Source organism: Homo sapiens, chromosome 2, assembly GCF_000001405.40.
Source record: "Homo sapiens chromosome 2, GRCh38.p14 Primary Assembly".
Classification (NCBI taxonomy): domain Eukaryota; kingdom Metazoa; phylum Chordata; class Mammalia; order Primates; family Hominidae; genus Homo; species Homo sapiens.
The window spans coordinates 115819559-115841790 of record NC_000002.12 but is presented as its reverse complement, the minus strand read 5'-3'; the positions used below and the strand labels follow the sequence as shown (position 1 = coordinate 115841790).

Here is a 22232-nt window from a genome sequence, read left to right as displayed (position 1 = left end):
GGTCTTCCTTGCCTCTTTAACATTGTCTGGTGCAATTATTTACTTTGACAATTCCCTTTCCAATGTAAACAAAATTGTTACTGTTTCTAAAATACAAATAAAAAATACAAATATTATCCCATTAATTCCTGAGTACAAAGGTTTAAATGGCGCCTCATTGCCCTTTGAATAAAACTCCATACTCCTCAACATTGCTTATGGAATGACCTGACATTTGTTTATCTGTATAGCTTCATATTTCATTATCCTAAACGTGGTAGTTTGTGTTTTAGACAGGTTGAGCAACTTTTGGTTCTTCTGAATGCTGAGAAATTTAAATGACTTTACTTTTTCCTTCTATGACTCTTATATCAGACTGGAACCTCCTTGACAGTGTAATGTATGTCTTGTTACTCATAGAGCAGAGTGACCACTGTAATGTCCTTGATAAATATATATTAAATGTATGAATGCACAGACATAAATGGTAGTGCAAATGGCCTTTTATCCTCTCTTCTTTTCTTGTAATATTTCCCCAAACATTTTTTATCCACTATTTATTATGAGAATTATAAATTATCATATTTAAAAATAAATTAATAATAAACTCTCATATTTAATAATAAAGACAAAGGAACAAGACAAAAGGAACAAGAAAAGGAAGAAAGGAACAACAAAAGGAAGAAAAGATAAAAGGAACAAGAAGGGAAGTAGAAACTTGTTACTTTTAAAAGAATTCAATATTTGGGATATGAATAAGTCTGAGAGGAAAATGACAATTTAGAAAGGATTCATGCAATTCACTTGTAAAGCATGAGTTCATCCACATTCTCGGTGTAATCAGGAACAGAGAACACAATCTTTGGTAACTAAAAAACATATTAAAAAATAATAGTAGGGAGAATGGAATAATAGAGAAGCTGTGTTGCGTATCTCACAAGTGAAAAAACACAGCAGGAAAACACGTTCTTCTAAGAAAGTAGCTTACCTGCATAGTATAATTCACTCCAGCTTTTATTAGGTGCTTGATTAATTCTGCTGAGTGTTGGAAATGAACTTTTGCTGCAAGAAATCAAATTATGATATCTGAAGAAACACACTGCTTGTATGAGAACTTTTTCATATTATTTTTCAAAGAGATTCAGTGTTTTATTTTACATACATTGCACATTTAAAAGACTTATATCTGGCTGGGCACGGTGGCTCACGCCTGTAATCTCAGCACTTTGGGAGGCCGAGGTGGGCCGATCACAAGGTCAGGAGATCGAGACCATCCTGGCTAACTCGGTGAAATCCCATCTCCATTAAAAAATATAAAAAATTAGCCGGTGTGGTGGCGGGCACCTGTAGTCCCAGCTACTCGAGAGGCTGAGGCAGGAGAATGGCGTGAACCCGGGAGTGGGGAGCTTGCAGTGAGCAGAGATCGTGCCACTACAGTCCAGCCTGGGCGACAGAGCAAGACTCCGTCTCAAAAAAAAAAAAAAAAAAAAAACCAAAAAACCTTATATCTGGCTTTAGGTAGAAAGCTGGTAAATACAAATACAATGGTAAAACTTTGAGCTTCACTCTATTAAACAAAAAAGCAAAACAGTAGCTACAACTAAGTCCTACTTACTCTACAGAATGGTGTTTATATTTACTTTACTGGATAGTATTTATTATTCCTAATGGTACACATATTTTTATAAATTTTATAAAATTTATAAAAAATTTTAATATGGCAAATGTCTTTTCTGGATATTAATACAGGAAACCAGCTATCTATTTCATTTTGAAGATTACTAGGGCACAGTCTCAGTTGGATACTGGCATTCTGCTTTATTATTCAAAATTAGAAAAGAATACCCCATACTGAGAAAATAGAATACACATCTCATTATACAAGGACTAACTATTTAATATAGAGCATACTGGTTACTCTTGCTTTATCTTCCTTCTGCCAGAACCTAAGATCCAAGATTCTGAAGTAAGCAGCCCAATAGCCATGGGTTTGGTAGCTATGAAGATTTGGTGCAGTCACTCAAATCTCTTTCTGCAGAAGTTGGCTCACATTCTGTCTAGGGTGTTCATTCCTGTAGTTTGTGTATCTTCAGATTTCTGTAACTCATGTTTAAGCTGCCTTTTTTTTTTTTTTTTTTGAGATGGAGTCTTGCTCTGTTGCCCAGGCTGGAGTGCAGTGGTACGATCTCGGCTCACTGCAACCTCTGCCTCCCAGGTTCAAACAGTTCTCCTGCCTCAGCCTCCTGAGTAGCTGGGATTATAGGCGTGCACCACCATGCCCAGCTAATTTTTGTATTTCTAGTAGAGACGGGGTTTCACCATGTTGGTCAGGCTGGTCTCAAACTCCTGACCTCGTGAGCTGCCTGCCTCGGTCTCCCAAAGTGCTGGGACTACAGGTGTGAGCCACCGCGCCCAGCCTAAGCTAACATTTTTAATTGTCGTTGCAAAATTAGGGCAGCCTTATCAATAGTTTAAGCCTCTTTAATGCTCTAACTCTAGAATGCTGAATAATCAGACCACACAGCAGAGAATGTAAAATGGCAAACAATCATTTAAACCTATTAAAAAACTAGATAGTCAAGATCTTTTTCAACATCTTCCTATGGCACTTAATGGGAAAATGACCTTGTCATTGCTACATAAGTACAAACTGCTCTATAAATGTAAGCTTCTAGAAATGCTAATTAATAAGGTCAATGACAGAGGTAATGTGATCCCTTATTTGTCTGCATGGAGACAGCTGAAAATAAATGTGCAAAAGGATTTTTCCAATTGGATTTTTTTTCTGCTTAGTTTCTAATGCAAAGTCCATTGATATTTGTTGCTATTTGTCTGTTTACTATAGCTAAAAGGGAACATTACAGGTTTGACTGGGTGATTGAATTCATTTGCTGGTAATTTTTGAAGATAATATTAATAGTAGTGGTGTTACAGTGTCATGACTGAGCACCTATAATTCACCAGGCCCGTATGGGTTGTGTGGTATGTGTATGTGTGTGCCTGTGTGTGTGTGCCTATGTGTGTGTGTGCTCACACACATTCACAGGTGCATTTCCTCTCCAGGGACCAGGGCTGAACCTCTGCTTGTATTTTATTAGATGGGTGAAGCGCCAGGCCTGTGACTGAGTGAGTCAGATAGAACAATGATTTACCTTTATAGCTACAACATATTGACAGAGAAATTTGAAATAGCACTAATATATTAGTCCAGCATGATGGGTAGACATACAATAATTTAACCTTGAATATAATTTATTCATATGAATAAGGCTTCAGGGCACAGTGAATAAAAGGCTCAATACATGGATTCAAATCTCCTTCCTACTAATCAATTGTGTCTACTCTTTTAAGGAAGTTATATCATTTCCTAATATTTATTTTCCCAATCTGTTAAATGAAAGTAATAACATCTACTATTCCGTGTTTGCAAGAAGTACAAATAAGATAATATTAAATGCTTTTAGCACATTTTCTGACATACAATGAGTACATAATTGCTATTTATTTTTATTACTGTTGATATATATGTAAGGTCTTAATACCTTAGAACAACATCCAAATGTCCCTCAAAATTTTTACGCTCTCTTTCATCATGTTTCACCCAACACTGGTACTGTATCATCTACCTCTTTCTTTAATAGACTATTAATACTATAATTGCTTTACATTTTCAGAACAGTTGCAGAGATAGTACAGAGTTCCTGGATACCCGTCCTCCAGTTTCCCCATTGTTAACATCTTATATTATTATATACTTTGTCACAAATAGAAACTAAGACTCATATACTACCACTAACTAAACCCACTTTATTTGGGGTGCACTAGTTTTTCTTGTTGGTGTTCTTATTGTTGTTTTCCTGTGTACCCTTTCTGTTCCAGGGTTCCATTCAGAATCCCACATTATATTTAGACATCATGTCTTTTAAACTTCCTCTGGTCTATGAGAGTTTCTTAGACTTTTTTTTTTTTTGATTACCCCAACAGTTCTGAGGGGTGCTGGCTGGATATCTGATAGAATTTTCCTCATTTGGATCTGCCTGATGGTTTTCTCATGGTTAGACTGGTGTTATGTATGGGCTTGGAGTACTAAACCATGGAGGTAAAGTGCCATCCCCACTACATCATATCAAGGGCATTTAATAACAGTAATAACATGACTTGTCACTGTTGATGTGATGTTTGTCAAATTTCTCCACTGTAAAGTTCCTCTTTCTCTCTTTTTCCATATAGTACCCTTGAAGCAAATCATTCAGTGGAACCCACCCTAAAGAGGAAGAAGTTAAGTTCAAGATTTAGGAAATATTGATTCAAGACTTTGACTTTCTTGTCTCACTTGCCAGATGGCCTTGGATAAATCTGTTTCCTTTTTGAAATTGATTTTTCTCATCCATGAATGAAGCTATAAATATTCAGCTGTCTGTTGTAAAATATCACAGAGGATAATAAAATATAGATTCTTTGGTCCCTAAGAGTGTCATGTAAATATAAAATGATATTATTTATTACTACTAACATCAATCACATCCACCTCCAAGGTTTAAAGTGATGAAAAAATGAGAGATGATATGAAAGTGCCTTTTTAAAGTTTTTAAGTTCATTTAAGCGGGTAACCTCATTAGAATTTCATGTCAGTGCTTGCAGCTTTTTGGTTTCTGTTTTCCAGGTTGGTTTCCATTTTAGGTGTGCTGAATAACACTGTAACCATAGTCACTAGACACAAGTGCCTTTTTAAATTAAAATTAAATAAAATCAATTCAGTTCCTCAGTCACACTAAACAAGGTATGGCCACAAGTGGCCAGTGGCTACTTTTTCAGCAACATTGATAAAGTATTTCCATCATTACAGGGAGTTTGATTGGACAACGCTGCCATTTGAGGAATAGCCTCCTCTCCTCTTATCTCTGAATTCTTTTTTCCCACCTTCTATCATGTATCTGATTCTTTGTGTGACTCTCTGCTCCCTTCTTCAGAAGGTTTACAGGGCTTCCTGTAAGCAAGTCCTTAGATGTATCCCTTTGTAAAAGGTCATACCCTATCAAACAGCAGCGGCAAGTATAATACTTACTGTCAGCAGTTCCATGAATTATTAATATATTTTCTTCTTTCAAGCCATGAACATTATGTAGCACACTGGCTGCCTATAAAGGAAAATACAAATATCTGTATCTATAGATCTAAATAAGCCATTTAACTAATTTTTTAGAACAAAAATACTCCTCTTTCTTTGTTATTTTCAAATTAGTTACCTGGTAAGTGCTTTCTTCCTTAGATGGCATCCCAAGGTATCTTTCAGAGAAAGCTGAGGCTGTGACCCAAGAAAACAGACATTCGAGAAGAAACTAAAAACTATTTGACTGGCATATTTCATTAATTTCTTCATTTTACATTTAATTGTCATGCTTTAGTAAAATCAGCTGAATCAAGGAGGAGATAAACAGCTGAAAACAGGCTCTAATAACATATGATAAATGAGCTCAATTGAGCTATTCTAAATTGGGCTTTCGTTTTCTACAAATCAATACATTATACTAGGTCAGTCTGTAGAAAGTACTCACCATACAATTTCAAGTCTGTGATAGGTGCAACCACGGATCCACATTTAAAAAGCTTTTCATCTGATTTTAAGATCATTGATGCAATATAGCCACCATAACCCTGGGGGGGAAAAATATATATATATATATATATATATCTCACACACACACACACACATACACACACACAAATTTATATATAACAACTATGCCTGGAGACATTTTTAGCTTTTGATCAATGTTTGGTACTGTACATCATATCAGAATGTCTCAGGCTTGGGGGAAAAAAGCCAAAATCATTTTGTACAATTAAGATTTTTGAACATTTGTTTAAATTGTTATATAACAGCTGTTTTAATAAGCCTTAAGTAAAATATAAAATTAATTACATCACCAAATGTCAAATATTGCTCCATGATTTCATACTATACATCTGGAAATTGCCCCAAATAATTTGAGGTTAGGGAAATAAAGCACTTATTAAATCACATGTAATTTTCCACTAATTTAATAAAATACTGAAATAATGATGATTATGTAGAATTAAGAAATAATGAAATTTTGAAAATATCTCACCAAAAATTTAGATTGTTTTAATTTCTTATAGAGTTCAGAACATGTCACCCCAAAATAAGGCTGCACTCAGACTATTTCACCCTAAATATGCCTCTCTGGCTTAGGATTATTTGGAGCTAGATATTTTGAGAAACTGCAGACACAGGAAGAATACTAGAAACAAGGCTGGAAGTTTCCCTTGTGTAAGATAAATTTATGTCTATAAAGGAAATGTATAGATGTTTTCAAGGGTCTCTCTCTCTCTCTTTCTCTCCCTCTCTTTCCGCACCAGGAAGAGAAGAATAACTACATAACCGAAGACTCAATCAATGGAGAAGAAATCGACTTCACTATGCGTGACAAACTTTGCTTGTGTTTTGCTTTTCCTGGTCATCTTTCTTAACAAAACCTTTCCTACATCCTTATGCCTTTGTTTCAGAGAATGGTAGTGTTTGCATCTGAGGTATAAGACAATTCTTTGAGATCTACTCTAGAGATCTGCCCATTTTTCTTGTTTCTATCCCATGTACAAAGGAGGTATTTATGTTATTAAGCTTCTGTTTGTTTTTCTCTTGCTTTTTTTTTTTTAGACAGAGTCTTGCTCTGTGGTCCAGGCTGGAGTGCAGTGGTGCGATCTCGGCTCACTTCAAGCTCCGCCCCCTGGGTTCACTGCAAACTCCGCCCCCTGGGCTCACTGCAAGCTCCGCCCCCCGGGTTCACGCCATTCTCCTGCCTCAGCCTCCCGAGCAGCTGGGACCACAGGCGCCCGCCACCAGCCCGGCTAATTTTTTTTGTATTTTTAGTAGAGACGGGTTTCACCGTGTTAGCCAGGATGGTCTCGATCTCCTGACCTCGTGATCTACCCGCCTCGGCCTCCCAAAGTGCTGGGATTACAGGCGTGAGCCACCGCGCCCGGCTTGTTTTTCTCCTGTTAATCTGCCTTTTGTTGCAGGGAATCTTAGCTAAAAACTCATGAAGAGTAAAGGAGAAAATTGTCTTCTCTATATTCCACACAACTAAGTTTTGGAAAGCAATGGGATATAATGAATAATGTTCCCAGATAGATGAGTTAAATTATTGTTTAAGTTTAATTTTGAATACCCTCTTGAAATGTTTTTTAATAAGCCAAGATGTCCAGTTTTCTTTTGTAGACCAAGATCTGACTAGAAAAGTTCCAGAGGAGATTTTAATAATTACAGTAATGCTGAAAAAAAAAAATGACCTACTGAGCTATCTGTTTTAGAAATTAATTTTCAGCCCTACTCTCAGTAATGTTCTTTATGCTACTGGAAATCAGAACATCTTGGGAGGTATTAAAAAATATTAACATTCAGGCCTCAATCTCAGAAATTCTGATGCAGTTTGTTCATGATGAAGTCTACTTTTGAAAGATTTTCAGATGACTCAAGTGTGGTCCAGGTTATAGTTTTATTGTCATTGTCACTAAACTCTTGAAGTAAGAAATAAAGAATTTCATTTATGTGTATTTGGAGCATCATTTAAAAATTGGTACATAAAAGTTCAAAATGCAGTCATTCATTACTGAATGGACTGAGATAGCATATATTGTTCTGGTACTGGAATATTTAGATAGTACTCAGAAGCTTGAGCAAAGCTTTAACGATTAGTAACTGAAGGAAAGAAAATTATCCTATATAGATATAAGCTACTTCAAAGTGCCTTTGCTCATTCTCATTGAGAGAGACAGTCTTAGGCCAGCAAAATCTGGAAGTAGCCCATTTTAAATTTTCCCTTAGGTAGGTAAATGTATTAACCTACCTAAGAAAGAAAAATAAGAAGGTGGGGTAAGCTATGCAAAGCAAGAAAGTAAATAGCTAAAGGCTGAATATCCCTTATCTGAAATGCTTGGGGTCAGAAGTTTCCGATTTTTGGATTCTTTTAAAATTTAGGGATATTTACCTACACATAATGTGTTATCTCAGGGATGAAAACTTAAGTCTAAACATGAAATTCATATATGCTTTAATATACCTTATACACACAGCCTGACAGTAATTGTATAGAATATTTTTAGTAATTTTGTTCATGAAACAGTTTTAATGGCATTTTTGACTGTGACCCATCACATAGGGTCAGGTGTAGAATTTTCCATGCGTGGCATTATGATGTCGGTGCTCAAAACATTTTGGATTTGGAGCATTTCAAATTTCGGATTTTCAGATTAGGTACGTTGAACCTGTATCATAAAGCAAAAGTGGAAACAGCTCTTGAAAGTGTTGTCCCTAGAGGGAGCATTTCCAGTATATTGTTCCTAGTTCTCTGTCATAAAGATGGGCGAAGGGTGTTGCAGCCAAGAGATTTCAAGTATTTCCCGTAGGCAAGACTCTTCCCATAGTGAGGAATGCATCACACATCTTAGCTGATGCATGCAACTTTTCTGGTTCTATTAACAATACCATGATGGCCAAGCAAACTTTCAGCTGATTATGATGTTTGTTTATATAACCTGAAAACATTGATAGAATAATGAATATTCCAGTCCATAAAAGCTTATGTTACATTTAAATAATATATATAAGATGACATTATATGTTTTTGTTGGTTTGTTTTATTTTATTTATCTCAGTTTCACATGTCTCTCATAGCCTGATTATCTCTAGGAATCAGGAATAGTGCCTTCCAAAGGAGGGGTAGATCCCACAACAATGCTTCTTAACTTCTAACTTAATTCAAATCACTTGAGAGTGTTGTCAGCATACAGATTCAAATTCAGTAGACCTGGGGTGGGACCTAAGATTGTGCATTTTTAATAAACTCTCAGGGGACCTCTATGCTGCTGATCTACATTATATACAACAAGTTATTACTGCATAATTGTATAATAAAGGTGCCTACCGGAAACATCTTCTTAGTCCCAGCCGATGTTCCCTAGATGAGTGAAGCTTTAAAAAAAAAAAGTGCCAGTGCTCTCCCCGACCCACATTCAATCACAATCTGTGGAGAATGGGCACCTGATGGATCTCCCCATGTGATTCTTCAGTAAAACCAGGAATGTAAATTATTGCTGCTATACAAGGAGTTATATTTTACTATTTTTGTAAATATGAAAATTTGGCATTTAATGAAGCCAAATATTTTCTAAGTCTTTATGATAATAAAAGCTGTTGAATAAAATTCTATTTATAGCATTTAAAATTGAACCACAAATGCTTCTTTAATTGATTTTTAAACAAAAATCGACACTGGCAAAAATTAGAATAATTTTATTTATTTTAGACATGGTCTCACTCTGTCACCCAGGCTGAAGTACATGGCACAATCTCTGCTCATCGCAACCGCTGCCTCCCAGGCTTAAGCAGACCTCCCACTTCCGCCTCCTGAGTAGCTGGGACCACAGGTGCGTGCCACCGTGCCCAGCTAATTTTTGTATTTATTTGTACAGATAGGTTTTGCCATGGCTGCCCAGGCTGGTCTTGAACTCCTAGGCTCAAGTGATCCACTCGCCTTGGCCTCCCAAAGAACTGGGATTACAGGTGTGCCCCACCAGCCCCAGATGAAAATAAGTTAAATTTTAATGGCTCGCCTTCCTCTCACCTGTTTTATATGTATTTACAGAATGCAATAGTATATCACAAAAGAGTTTTTGGAAAATTTACTTCAGAGGAGGGCAAAAATAAGATATAAGTTCTAGGTAGATATAAGAACGCTTTCAACTTTCAAAACAATGCATATCATCAGGTAGATTAAAAAATGGGAATCACCATATCGTCTGTAGTAAATTAGAGGCTACTTTTGATTTAATAAAGATCAAAAACTTCCATCATCAGTGTAGGCTGCTCTGTTTTCATTGTGCATTTTATTGGTCTTCCCGTGATCGGATTTTGCTATTCATTAAAATTGTTTTGTCATTCCCATTTGCCAAGCATTTTAGCATTACTTACAAAAGTTTAACAAGTTTATGTTATTTTTAAATTTAATTTAGTAAGCCTAAAATATAGGAATGTTTCCTTAGAATTTTCCTTCTTAAAAGAAATATACTCATGATGTAGGAAACTAAATTCAATAGATAGAAGGACTTGGAGAAGCAGAGGTGGGATCTGCAATGCCATTTACTCAAAATTTATGTTTGCTGTGGCCCCAGGTTTTCAGATCATCTTTAAATGACTTTATGAATATAGTAAAAGGGATACACTGACAGACTGGGATTTTACAAGAGGTTATTTGGGCCGGACATGGTGGCTCAAGCCTGTAATCCCAGCACTTTGGGAGGCCGAGGCCAGCGGATCACAAGGTAAGGAGTTGGAGACCAGCCTGACCAGCATGGTGAAACCCTATCTCTACTAAAAATACAAAAATTAGTCAGGTGTGGTGGCTAATCCCAGCTACTCAGGAGGCTGAGGCAGGAGAATTGCTTGAACCCAGGAGGCAGAGGTTGCAGTGAGCTGAAATCGCGCCACTGCACTCCAGCCTGGGCGACTGAGTAAGACTCCGTCTCAAAATAAAGAAAGAAAGAAAGAAAGAAAGAAGTGATCTGTGCGAATTTAAACTTGTGTAATTCTTTCTGAACCATTTCACTTGTGGTACACAATGAATTAATTGGAAATAAAGAATTTTATAAATACAAGATAAATTTTATTACACTCTATTATTTTGCATTAAAACTATTAATTCGCTTAACATAATCACTCACATTTTATCACAATACCTATAATCCTGCCTTGAAGCAGAATCTTAATCCTGCCTCAAGGAGGCAGGATCTTAATTCTGCAGATAATGTATACTGAAGCTTTAAACCTTAGAAGTGACTCAAGCTGGACTCAAACACTGAGAGGCCCTCCCTCAATTGAAAAGATACAAAACTTTACATAACAAATAATTACCTCCCTAAGTAAAGTTTTAAGAAGCTTTCATATTCATTTACATTTTTAAGTTTGTTTTATTTTCCCCAGATATCCATAGTTCTTATCTCCTTACATTGCCTTCTCTTAGTTCAAACATGATCTCCTAGTGATACCTTTCCTTACCTCCAATCTAAATTGGCCACATTCACTCTAATCCTGGCATCCTTATTTATTTCTCTTCTTTACTTTTTGGAATCAAACTCTCACCATCTGACATTTTATGTATTTCACCAATTATGTTTAGTTTACATGTTTTCCATATAGCTCTCCTTACTGAACTAAATTCAGTAAAGAAAGACTTTTCTTCTACTCTTTGACCACTGTATTTCCAACACTTCAAAAAAAGTGCTGGGCACATAGTGTACATTCAATAATGTTTGTTGGATGAATTAATCTTTTTTTGGCCTGGTAATCACAGTGATATCTGTTCTAAAAAAAAATGTTTATAAGACAACTAAACTTAATTTCAGTTCTTGTGATAATTTTTTTTTTTTTTTTTTTTGAGACAGAATTTTTCTCTTGTTGCCCAGGCTGGAGTGCAGTGGTGGGAATTGGGCTCACTGCAAACTCCACCTACTGGGTTCAAGCGATTCTCCTGCTTCAGCCTCCTGAGTAGCTGGGATTACAGACACTCGCCACCACACCCAGCCAATTTTTGTACTTTTTTAGCAGAGACGGGGTTTCACCATGTTGGCCAGGCTGTTCTCGAACTCCTGACCTCAGGTGATCCACCCACCTTGGCCTCCCAAAGTGCTGGGATTACACGCATGAGCCACTGCTCCCGGCTGTGATTAATGTTTTTAAAGAAGCTATGTCCATAAAATTTTGCTTCTAGGAGTTTTGTTTTATATTTAGCACTTACACATAATTCTTAAAAAAAATTAAAATTATTATATATTAAATGAGGTTAGGTCCTGAGGATAATTATTCAAACTAAAGTTGCTTAATGTCTTCAATCAAGTCATATCCATAATTAATAAGTAATAAACAGTGGCCAGCTAAAAGCTACATATGCTATTATCATAACCTTTCCATTATCCCAACAAGCTAGTTAGAAAATAACACTGAGAAAATGACACAATTTACAATAAAAATTAAAACACACAAATAATAAGCAATAGTTAGAAATAAAAGCAGCAGGAGAGAGATTTGGCATATTTTAAGAAAGCTATAAAATTCTACTAGGATATATAAAAAAAGAAATAAAAGAAATGTACTGTGCATATTGTCTGACTCAGATGAAAGCTACATCTTGTGACTATTTTAATTCTTCTTAAATTATTATAACTGTTGAAACAAATTTTAATTAAAAAATTCCAGTTGCATATTTTGGGAGAATTTGAAAAAAACAAAGATAATAGAACAGGTGAGCCAAGAATATTTTCAAAGAGAGAAGTAAAGAGTGAAAATTCTTTTAAAAATATTAAAATGAGTTATAATGAAGCATGTTATAATTAAAAGACTGTAAGATTAGCATAAGAACAGAAAGACAGAATTCAACAGAAATAAACCCTGAAATGAATGAGAACTTAATTCTTAGTTGGTATCACTGTTAATGATGTTGATTTAGTCAACCAACGGAGCTAGGAAACTGGCTAGCTATTTGAAACTATATAAGTAAATTCTCACCATACCTCACAAGTGCTATGCATCTCTCTCATCTCTATTAAACTCAGATAAATAAAGAGAAAACATAATAAATACTCATTTAGCCTTTTGATAGAAACAGGACATCTAAATAATAAAATCACTGGAAGAAATTACCCAAGAAAGCATTTGAGAAGAGTTTGCCAAGTTTTAGAACTTCAGTTTTTTGCCTCATCATATGCAAATTTTAACAAAATTCAAGCAGCTGAGGAAATATTTCAAACAAGTGTGAACAGAGACTGCTATCTTTAATATAGCAAAATTTTAGTATGTCAACAAGGAAACAAATATATATGTTCATATATACCAGAAGTCAAAATAAACTAAGCATATATAATGGATAAATGGACAATCCAAAAAGAGACATATAAAATGGTTAATAAATATACAATTTATTTTATTTAAAAGTTTACAATTCCAACGTGATGAAGCAGCAGAAATGAGATTTATCCTCCCACATGAAATGACTAAAAATATAGACAAAATATATAAAATAGAAGTTTTTAGGACATTGGACATTGACTGATGAAGGACATTGATCCCTGAATGATGAAAAATAAACACGTCAGTCCTAGCATTGTTACAGCTTGCTACCTTGAAGAATGAAGTTGAGGCATAGCAGAACTATCTGAAATGGAACATACAAAGAAATGCATGCTTTTAAAAAAAAAATTGAACAGCATATTAGTGAGTTTGGGGACAACTTCAAGTAGCCCAATCTACCCATATTTATAATCCCTGAGAAAGTGGACAACAAAAAATATTTGAAATAATAATAAAAAATTTCCAAATTTGTTAAAAACACTTAACCTAGATAGTCAAGAAATTCAATAAACTGAAGCGTAAGACATATGAAGAAAACTATACCAAGGCATATCACAATGAAATTCATTAAAATTAATCATAAAGAGAAATTATTAAAAGCATCTACAGAGAAAAGATGCGTTGTATACAGAGGAAAAAAGTTAAGAATGATGGCATATTCTTATTGAAAAAAATGCAAACCAGAAGGTAGTAAACATCTTTACAGTATAGAATAAGAAATGTCAACCTAAAACTTTTTGCCCAGAAAATAATAAAATATTTAAAAGATTAAAGTGCAATAAAGACACATTAGAGCTGGAAGAATATACTACTTGCACACCTGGAGTACAAGGTAATTTAAAGGATGTTCTTCAAGCAGAAGAAAAAGTGAGACTAGGTGGAAATCTGTATCTACACAAAGAAATGATGAACACTGGAATTGGTAGTCACCTGGGTAAATATATAAACATTTAAACACTATATTTAAATTTGTTTAAAAATAACTCACTTTTAGGCCGGGTGCAGTGGCTCATGCCTGTAATCCCAGCACTTTGGGAGGCCGACGCTTGTGGATCACCTGAGGTCAGGAGTTTGAGACCAGCCTGGCCATAACGGTGAAACCCCCATCTCTACTAATAATAGAAAAATTAGCTGGGCATGGTGGCCCACACCTGTAATCCCAGCTACTGGGGAGGCTGAGGCAGGAGAATCGCTTGAACTCGGGAGGTGGAGATTGCAGTGAGCCGAGATCACACCATTGCACTCCAGCCTGGGCAACAGAGCAAAACTCTGTCTCAAAAAAATAAAATAAAATAAAATAAAAATAAAAATAAAAATAACTGACTTTTAAATGCAAAAATTATAACAATATATTTTGGGATTTATAACATGTAGCATAAAATGTATGACAACTGTGGCATAAAGGTCAGAAATAGAGAAACAGAAGTATACCACTGTAGAGCATATATATATATATATATATATATATATATATACACACACACATACACACACACACACAGTTGCCCTCCTCTGATATATCCCACTTCATATATATGTACATATATATACATATACATATACATATACATGTACATGTGTATATATATGTATGTGTATATATGTATGTGTATACATACATAAATACTGACCTGTTTACAGCTTATTACCTTGAAGAGTGAAGTAAAATAATATCACAGGAGGACAACTTTAATTAGTTAAAAATATACATTATAAGCCATAAAGGAACCATCAAAATAATGCAAAGACCAGTTATAATTAACAAATAACAAAGCAAATTTTATTATAAAAAATGCTCTTTTAATATAAAGCACACTAGACAAAATTTTAAAGAAACTAAAAGCAGAAGAAATGGAAAGTGTATGGCAAGATGATAGACCTTAATGCAACAATAACAATGATTACATTAAAGGTGAAAGAGCTAAATACATTATTTAAAATCTAGAGATTTAATATGCAGAGTCTGTCAGATTGAATAAAAAAGCAAGACCCAACTCTTTGCAGCCTATAAGAAACATACTTTAAATATAAATACGTAATACGTAAATGTAAATACACAAATAGATAAAAAGAAAAACAATGGAGTAAGATTTATAACATGTTTACAATAATCCAAAGAAAGATGGAGTGGCTATATTAATATCTGACAAAAAAGATTTCAAAGGAGATAATATAACCAAAAATAAAGTCGCCCAGGCTGGAATGCAGTGGCATGATCTTTGTTCACTGTAACCTCTGCCTCCCAGGTTCAAGCAATTCTCCTGCCTCATCCTTCCAAGTAGCTGGGATTACAGGTGCTTACCATCATGCCCGGCTAATTTTTGTATTTTTAGTAGAGACGGTGTTTTACCACGTTGGCCAGGCTGGTCTCGAACTCCTGACCTCAGGTGATCCAGCCACCTAGGCCTCCCAAAGTGCTGGGATTACAGCGTGAGCCACCATGCCCGGCCAAGGTCATTTCTTAACAATAAAGAGGTCAACTAATCAAGAGGAAATAATGATCCTAAGCATGTATGTATCTATACAATAAAAAAGTATGGAAATAAATGAAGCCAAAACTGATAGAACTGAAAGTAGGAAAAGGCAAACAGACAATTATAGCCTTTAAATAAAAATTGTAGGAAGTCATTGTTTTGAACTAAGCTACTGCACTAGGCCTCAACGGACCAGACTAAAAATCAAAATGGAGCCACTCATGCTGAGTTTCCATGTCACCAAACCCAAACTGAGTTGTTACTTGACCTTCCTAGAAAGCAGGAGTAAGAGGTTAACAGCCTAATTTCCCAAACAGGCCAGTTTCAATCAGCATGATAATGATGTTTCCTCTGCTTTAATTCTGACAACAAAATGTAACCTCAAGTGACCTGATGCTACCAGTTATTTTTCAACTGTTCCTGCTTCACAAAGTAACTTTGAAATGACCAATCTGCTTTTTATTTTTTGTTACTTCTTTCTTTAGTTCTTTTCTATCTATAAAACCAGCCTCTTCTGCCCAGCTCATTGGGACACTTTTTCTATTTGATGGAATGAAGTCTTGCCCAATTCTAGAATTGCAAATAAAGCAATTAAGATTTTTAGACTAAGATGTTGTAATTTTGTCTTATGGCATAGCCAAACATTTCAACACCCTCTCTCATTAGTTGATAGAAAAAGTAGACAGATAATCAGTAAAGAAATAAAAAGCTTGAATAATACATTCAATCACCTTGGCTTCATTGATATTTATAGAACATTCTATGTGTGAAATTGAGGTAAAGACTTTCAGAATAGGAAAGGTTTGAATTGGAGTTTGAAAAAAGGATAAAGTTTGGATATCCAGAGGGAGAGGGAATTCCAAATTAAAGAAAGATTATGAAATAAGTTCAATTCAAATGTCTCTGCAACAAAAAAATCAAATAAAACTGAACTAACTTGACAAAGCATACAGTCTGACTTAGAAATGAAAACAGAACACAAATGAATGTAATACATTACATACTGGTATAATGATTACAAGAAGCTACTAAAAAGTGTTCTATGAGTACACAGGAGGGAATAGTGTTTTCCAGTGGGAGAGATTGAGTGAATGGTTAATGGAGGAAACGACACCTGAATAGGGCTTAATAAGAGATAGAATTCTAAAGCAATATGTAGGCTTAGAGGCTGTTAGAAAAAAGTTAAAAGGCATGAACAAAGACACTGAGGTAGAAAGGTGGAATGCATGCTTATAATCAAAGAGATTTCAGTTAAACTATATTGCAGAAAATGCAGTTGGAAAGTAAATAACAGTAAATGCAGTTGAAATATCATTAGGTCCCATTTTACGTAATAGTTGCAACTTTTAGAATTTAGTGAATACTTGTGAAATATTGAAATAAAATTGGATGTAAAAAGACAAAAGTTGACATCTATGCTTTTGTACTGACTGAAGTTTCTCTTCTCTTTTCCTCTAGTATCCATGTAATAGGTTTAGAAGGTAATTAATTTAATCAATGCTTTCCTGGTGTTTATAGGACTAACATTTTAATACATAGAAAAGAGGTAGTAGTATTGTCTAAAAAATATATATTATGTGACCAAAGACTATTCTTAGAAATACCATCATTCTATTCCTTAATCACTTTACATAGTTAAAGAACACTGATTAGAATGGATTAGAAAGATTTGGAACCAACCCAAATGCCCATCAATGATAGACTGGATAACGAAAATGTAGCATATACACACCATGGAATACGAAGTGGCCATAAAAAAGAATGAGATCATGTTCTTGGCAGGGACATTGATGAAGCTGGAAGCCATCATTCTCAGCAAACTAACACAAGAACAGAAAACCAAACACTGCATGTTCTCACTCATAAGTGGGAGCTGAACAATGAGAACACATGGACACAGGGAGGGGAAAATCACACACTGGTGCCTGTTGGGGGGTGGGGCGCAAGGGAAAGGAGATCATTAGGACAAATACCTAATGCATGCAGGGCTTAAAACCTAGATGACGGGTTGATAAGTGCAGCAAACCACCATGGCACATGTATACCCACGTAACAAACCTGCACATTCTGCACGTGTACCGTGGTACTTAACGTAAAATTTTAAAAAAATTAAAAATAAAAAAAGAACGTGCCTCACAGCCATCGCCAAATCCCAGCTCCTTATTAAACATTTCCATACTCAAAAGCAAAAAATTAAACTAAACAATTATACACACGACAAAAACATTGAGCATTTTTTTAAATTTCATAATTTTGGCTTTATGGAGGTGTATATATATCAGTATGATGTATCTCAGAGTGTAAGTTTAGTTTTTGCTGGCAAAGTCCATAATAATGAATGAAATTATTTAGCTAGCTAGATATAGATATATATCATCATAAAAACATGGTAAATCTTAGACCAAAAGGAGAAAAAGCAGAACCTGGAAATTCATTCAAATATTAGTGAGTGTAAAGAAAAGAAGTTGACTAGAAATTGCAAATTCCTAGAACTAGAGCTGCCAATCATCTTTTCTTTCCTTGAGGAAATATCTCAAATGAATCACATCGCTTTTTACATTGAGATTTAACTTAGCCTAGAATCTTACAAGGAAGACTTGTTTCAGCCTCATTGATGAGAACAACATATTTATGGCAGTTTCTTTTCCAGCATTAAGTGAAACAGATACTCCACTTGATCCCTCAACTAAAGAAAACCAAAGTAAAACCAACCAACCAAACAAATAAATAAAACACAAATATAAGTTGGTGGCTTTAGAAAAAGGCACAACCCCAAACACTAAAAATAAATCTCATAAATCCACAAAAGCCAAATACAAACTGAAAGCTGGAAACGTGAAAAATAAAGCATGAAACCAATGTTTTATTCACATGCTAAAGACTTTGTTTGACCTTTCGTTCTAATGCCTTCTTTGGTGGATGGCGTAAACAAAATCCACAATGGGTCTAAAGGAGACCCTAAATAAATCTAGATCCCAAAAGCATTGTCTAAATGTGACAAAAAATAAAAGCCCATGCTGCATAAAAGAGATTGGTGAGATGTTTTAATTTTTATTCCTGTTATGAGCTTGTACTGAGCTAATAAAAAATAATTAATATTGACTAAAAATTTGAGCCATAAGTCCACACTTGGTTTGTGTGGTCCCAATTCAGCATACACAATTAAAAATAAAACATAATACATAAATACAAATGCAACAAAAGCATCAAAGAATCCCCATAGATAAAATTCCAAGAAAGATAAACTCATCTACAAGTAAATAAACAGTACACAAGGAAAAGTATCACCATGACTGAGAGACAGCAGAAATAACAGGCAAAAGAAACCAATACTCAAAAATAAAAGATATTTGTTTAATAAGATGTAAAATATCAGATAATGATGCTAAATATATTTTTAAAAATACACATCAGCAAAGCAAGAGTTAAAATATAGCTAAACATTTTTATAGAAAGCTCAGTGAAACTTCTAGTAACAATTTTTTTAAATTTAAGCAATGAATATAGAAAACCATTAGTCACACATGAAGAGAGAATTATTGGACTATAGAAGCAAGTATGACACAGAATTAAATACCAAAAGGCACCAAGAAAAGTTTATAAAATAACCATGTTAAAGTGAGATTTTAACACATTTTTAATAAGTGTTTAAGGAGGATGAGAAGTTATGACAATATTCTAATAGAAAATTGATAATTTTCTAGAATTGACAGAAAGCACCAAAGCATAGATTCAGAAAACCCAATACAACCTAAACATGGTTAATGAAAAAATATCTATAACTATGCACATACTAGAAAAAACAGAACACCAAACAAAATTATCTTTTAAAAATATGAAAGCTTCAATATTGCTTAGATGTCAGTTATTTCTTTGCCAGGTGATTTATAGATTTGATACAATTCACATAAGAAATCCCTATGGTGTATTTTCTTTTTAGAAAAGATACAAAGTGATTCTAAAATTTATAAAGAAATGTAATACATCTAGATGAGTTAAAAGAACTTTGAAAAAGAAGAACAAGATGGAAGAACTACTACTATTTGATTTTAAGACACTACTATCTGATGTTAAGATATGATATAAGGATGAATTTCATGGTATGTCAATTATATCTCAATTAAAAATGATGAAAAGGGGAAGGAAGGAATAGGTTTGCAGTTGTAACATGCTTTCTGTGACTTAGTAAATTTTAATATGAAAGTGTAAGTTGCACAGTCTGAATGGTCAACAAATCAGTTATGTTAAAATATACCTATATGAAGCAATAAACACATGAAAAGGTGTCCAGTATTATCAGTTATCAGTAAACTACAAACGAAAATAAAATAAATCCCACTATTCATCAGTTGTGGATGATTTTAAAAGACTGATGATATTAAGTGTTGGCGTAAATGTAGAACAAATGAAACTCTCCTATATGGTTCCTAAAACATAAAATACAAAGTATGAATACTTTCAAAAGAGTATGGAAATTCCTTATACAGGTAAACATGGAATTACTATGTGACTTAACAATTCTACTCTTATGTATTTACAAATAAATATGAAAATATATGTTTACACAAAAACAAGCGTACACGTTTATAATAACTATACACAAAACTAAAAACAATGCAAATGTTCATCCGTAGGTGAATGGATAAACAAATTATTTTATAGTCATACAATACAATACTTCTCAGCAATATAATTGAACAAACCAAAATTATATTTAGAAAAAAGAATGAAAGAGAAAAAAATAATCAATTCAAATAAATGGAAGACACAAGAAATATAATAGGACAGATAATGGCACATATAATGAAAACAGTAACATTTAAATTTATCAGTAATTAGAAGAAATTTAAATGAATACAATCTTCAACAAAAATACAGAAATTGGCAAAAAGATAAAAACATATTTCTCTCTCTCTCTTTTTGTTTAAAGGGCATACCTAAATCAATCGGAAAGTGCTGAAAATAATAAGGTGGAAAGGCTGATAATAAACATGTATCAATGAAAAAAGGATGTTATTGTAATTTGAATATAAAAATCTTTAATGCAAAAAATTAATAGAGATAAACTTGGCCAATAAAAACAACAAAAGATTAAATTTATCCAGAAGATATAATAATTCTGTAGTTGCAGGAACTGAATAATAATAGCCTTAAAATGTACTTAGAAAAATTAATAAGGAGAAATTGATGAGTTCACATTATAAAGGGATACTTTAATGCACCTTCCTGAGGACATAGTGAAAATCAATGTTTATTATTTGAACATCAAAATGGATATGTTTGATTAAATGGACATATATGTAACACTAACACTTTTAGGCACACATGGAAGTTTTAAAAATGTAAACTAGTACAACCACTACGGAAAACAGTGTGGAGATTCCTTAAAGAACTAAAAGTAGAACTACCATTTGATCTAGCAATCCCACTATTGGGTATCTACCCAGAGGAAAAGAAGTCATTATATGAAAAAGATACTTGCATATGCATGTTTATAGCAGTAAAATTCATAATTGCAAAAAATATGGAAGCAGCCCACATGCCCATCAATCAACAAGTGGATAAAGAAATTGTGAGATACACACACACACACACACACACACACACACACACACATACACCATGGAATACTACTCAGCCATAAAAAGGAATGAAACAATGGCATTCACATCAACCTGGATGGAATTGGAGACCATTATTCTAAGTGGAGTAACTCAGGAATGGAAAACCAAACATAATATATTCTCACTCATAAGTGGAAGCTAAGCTATGAGGATGCAAAGGCACAAGAATGATGCAATGGACTTTGGGGACTTGGAGGGAAAAAGTGAGAGGTGGGTAAGGGATGAAAGACTACACACTGGGTACAATACACTTCTCTGCTGATGGGTGCACCTAAATCTCAGAAATCACCACTAAAGAACTTATTCATGTAAGTAAACACCACCTAGTCCTCAAACCTCTGTTGAAATAAAAAAAAAAAAGAAAAAAAAATCAATTCACTAAACAAAAATTCCAAGAACTCTAATAAGAAACTGATAGGCTCATAAAATGGCTAATCAGGATCAAGTAAAATAAGAAAATTAATTACACAAAATTAAATAATTGATAAAGATAAAACAATGATTCCCTCCCTAACTCATAAATCAATTGATATTTCAAAGTATTTTTGTTATCCTGATCAATTCTTTGGCCACAGTTCAATTATAGTCAGTAAGTTACAGAAAAGTACCAAAAAATTATTTCATTCAATTTGACATAAAAATAATAAGAAAAGTTCAGAAGACATAGACTTATCCTGACAAATAGATATTTTCACTATATGGTAATAAAAGTACTCTGTAGTAGTGAAAAATACCTCAGAGAGCATCTCAAAAGGATTTTTAATTTAAATGCTTATATTTGTTTTTTGTTTTGTTTTGAGACAGAGTTTCGCTCTTGTTGCCCAGGCTGGAGTGCAATGGTCCGATCTCGGCTCACCACAATCTCCGCCTCCTGGGTTCAAGCGATTCTCCTGCCTCAGCCTCCCAGGTAGCTGGGATTACAGGCATGTGCCACCATGCCCGGCTAGTTTTGTATTTTTAGTAGAGACAGGGGTTTCTCCATGTTGGTCAGGATGGTCTCGAACTCCCAACCTCAGGCGATCCGCCCACCTCGGCCTCCCAAGGTGCTGGGATTACAGGTGTGAGCCACCAAACCCAGCCTAAGTGCTTGTATTTGAAAGAAAGAATGAAAAATTAATAAGCTAGACATTCAACTTAATAATTGATGAAAAAATGTATATAAAAAGTAGAAGAAAAATAATAATGGCAAGAAGGTAAACTAGCAAAGTAAAATCAAAGATAAATAGAGAACAA

At 34.3% G+C, this 22232-nt stretch overlaps 1 protein-coding gene across 24 annotated transcripts in view; it reads right to left on the bottom strand.

Annotated features, from left to right (window-relative positions):
- DPP10 (dipeptidyl peptidase like 10) overlaps positions 1 to 22232 on the bottom strand; it is a 1403140-nt gene that overhangs the window by 3990 nt on the left and 1376918 nt on the right. For 23 of the 24 annotated variants that reach the window (NM_001321910.3, NM_001399849.1, NM_020868.6 and 20 more), the window contains 4 exon segments: positions 5535 to 5634; positions 5226 to 5284; positions 5045 to 5117; positions 968 to 1041 (listed from right to left, as the gene is read on the bottom strand). In NM_001321910.3, the coding sequence (NP_001308839.2) occupies positions 968 to 1041; positions 5045 to 5117; positions 5226 to 5284; positions 5535 to 5634 (306 nt within the window). 24 annotated transcript variants of the gene reach the window in all.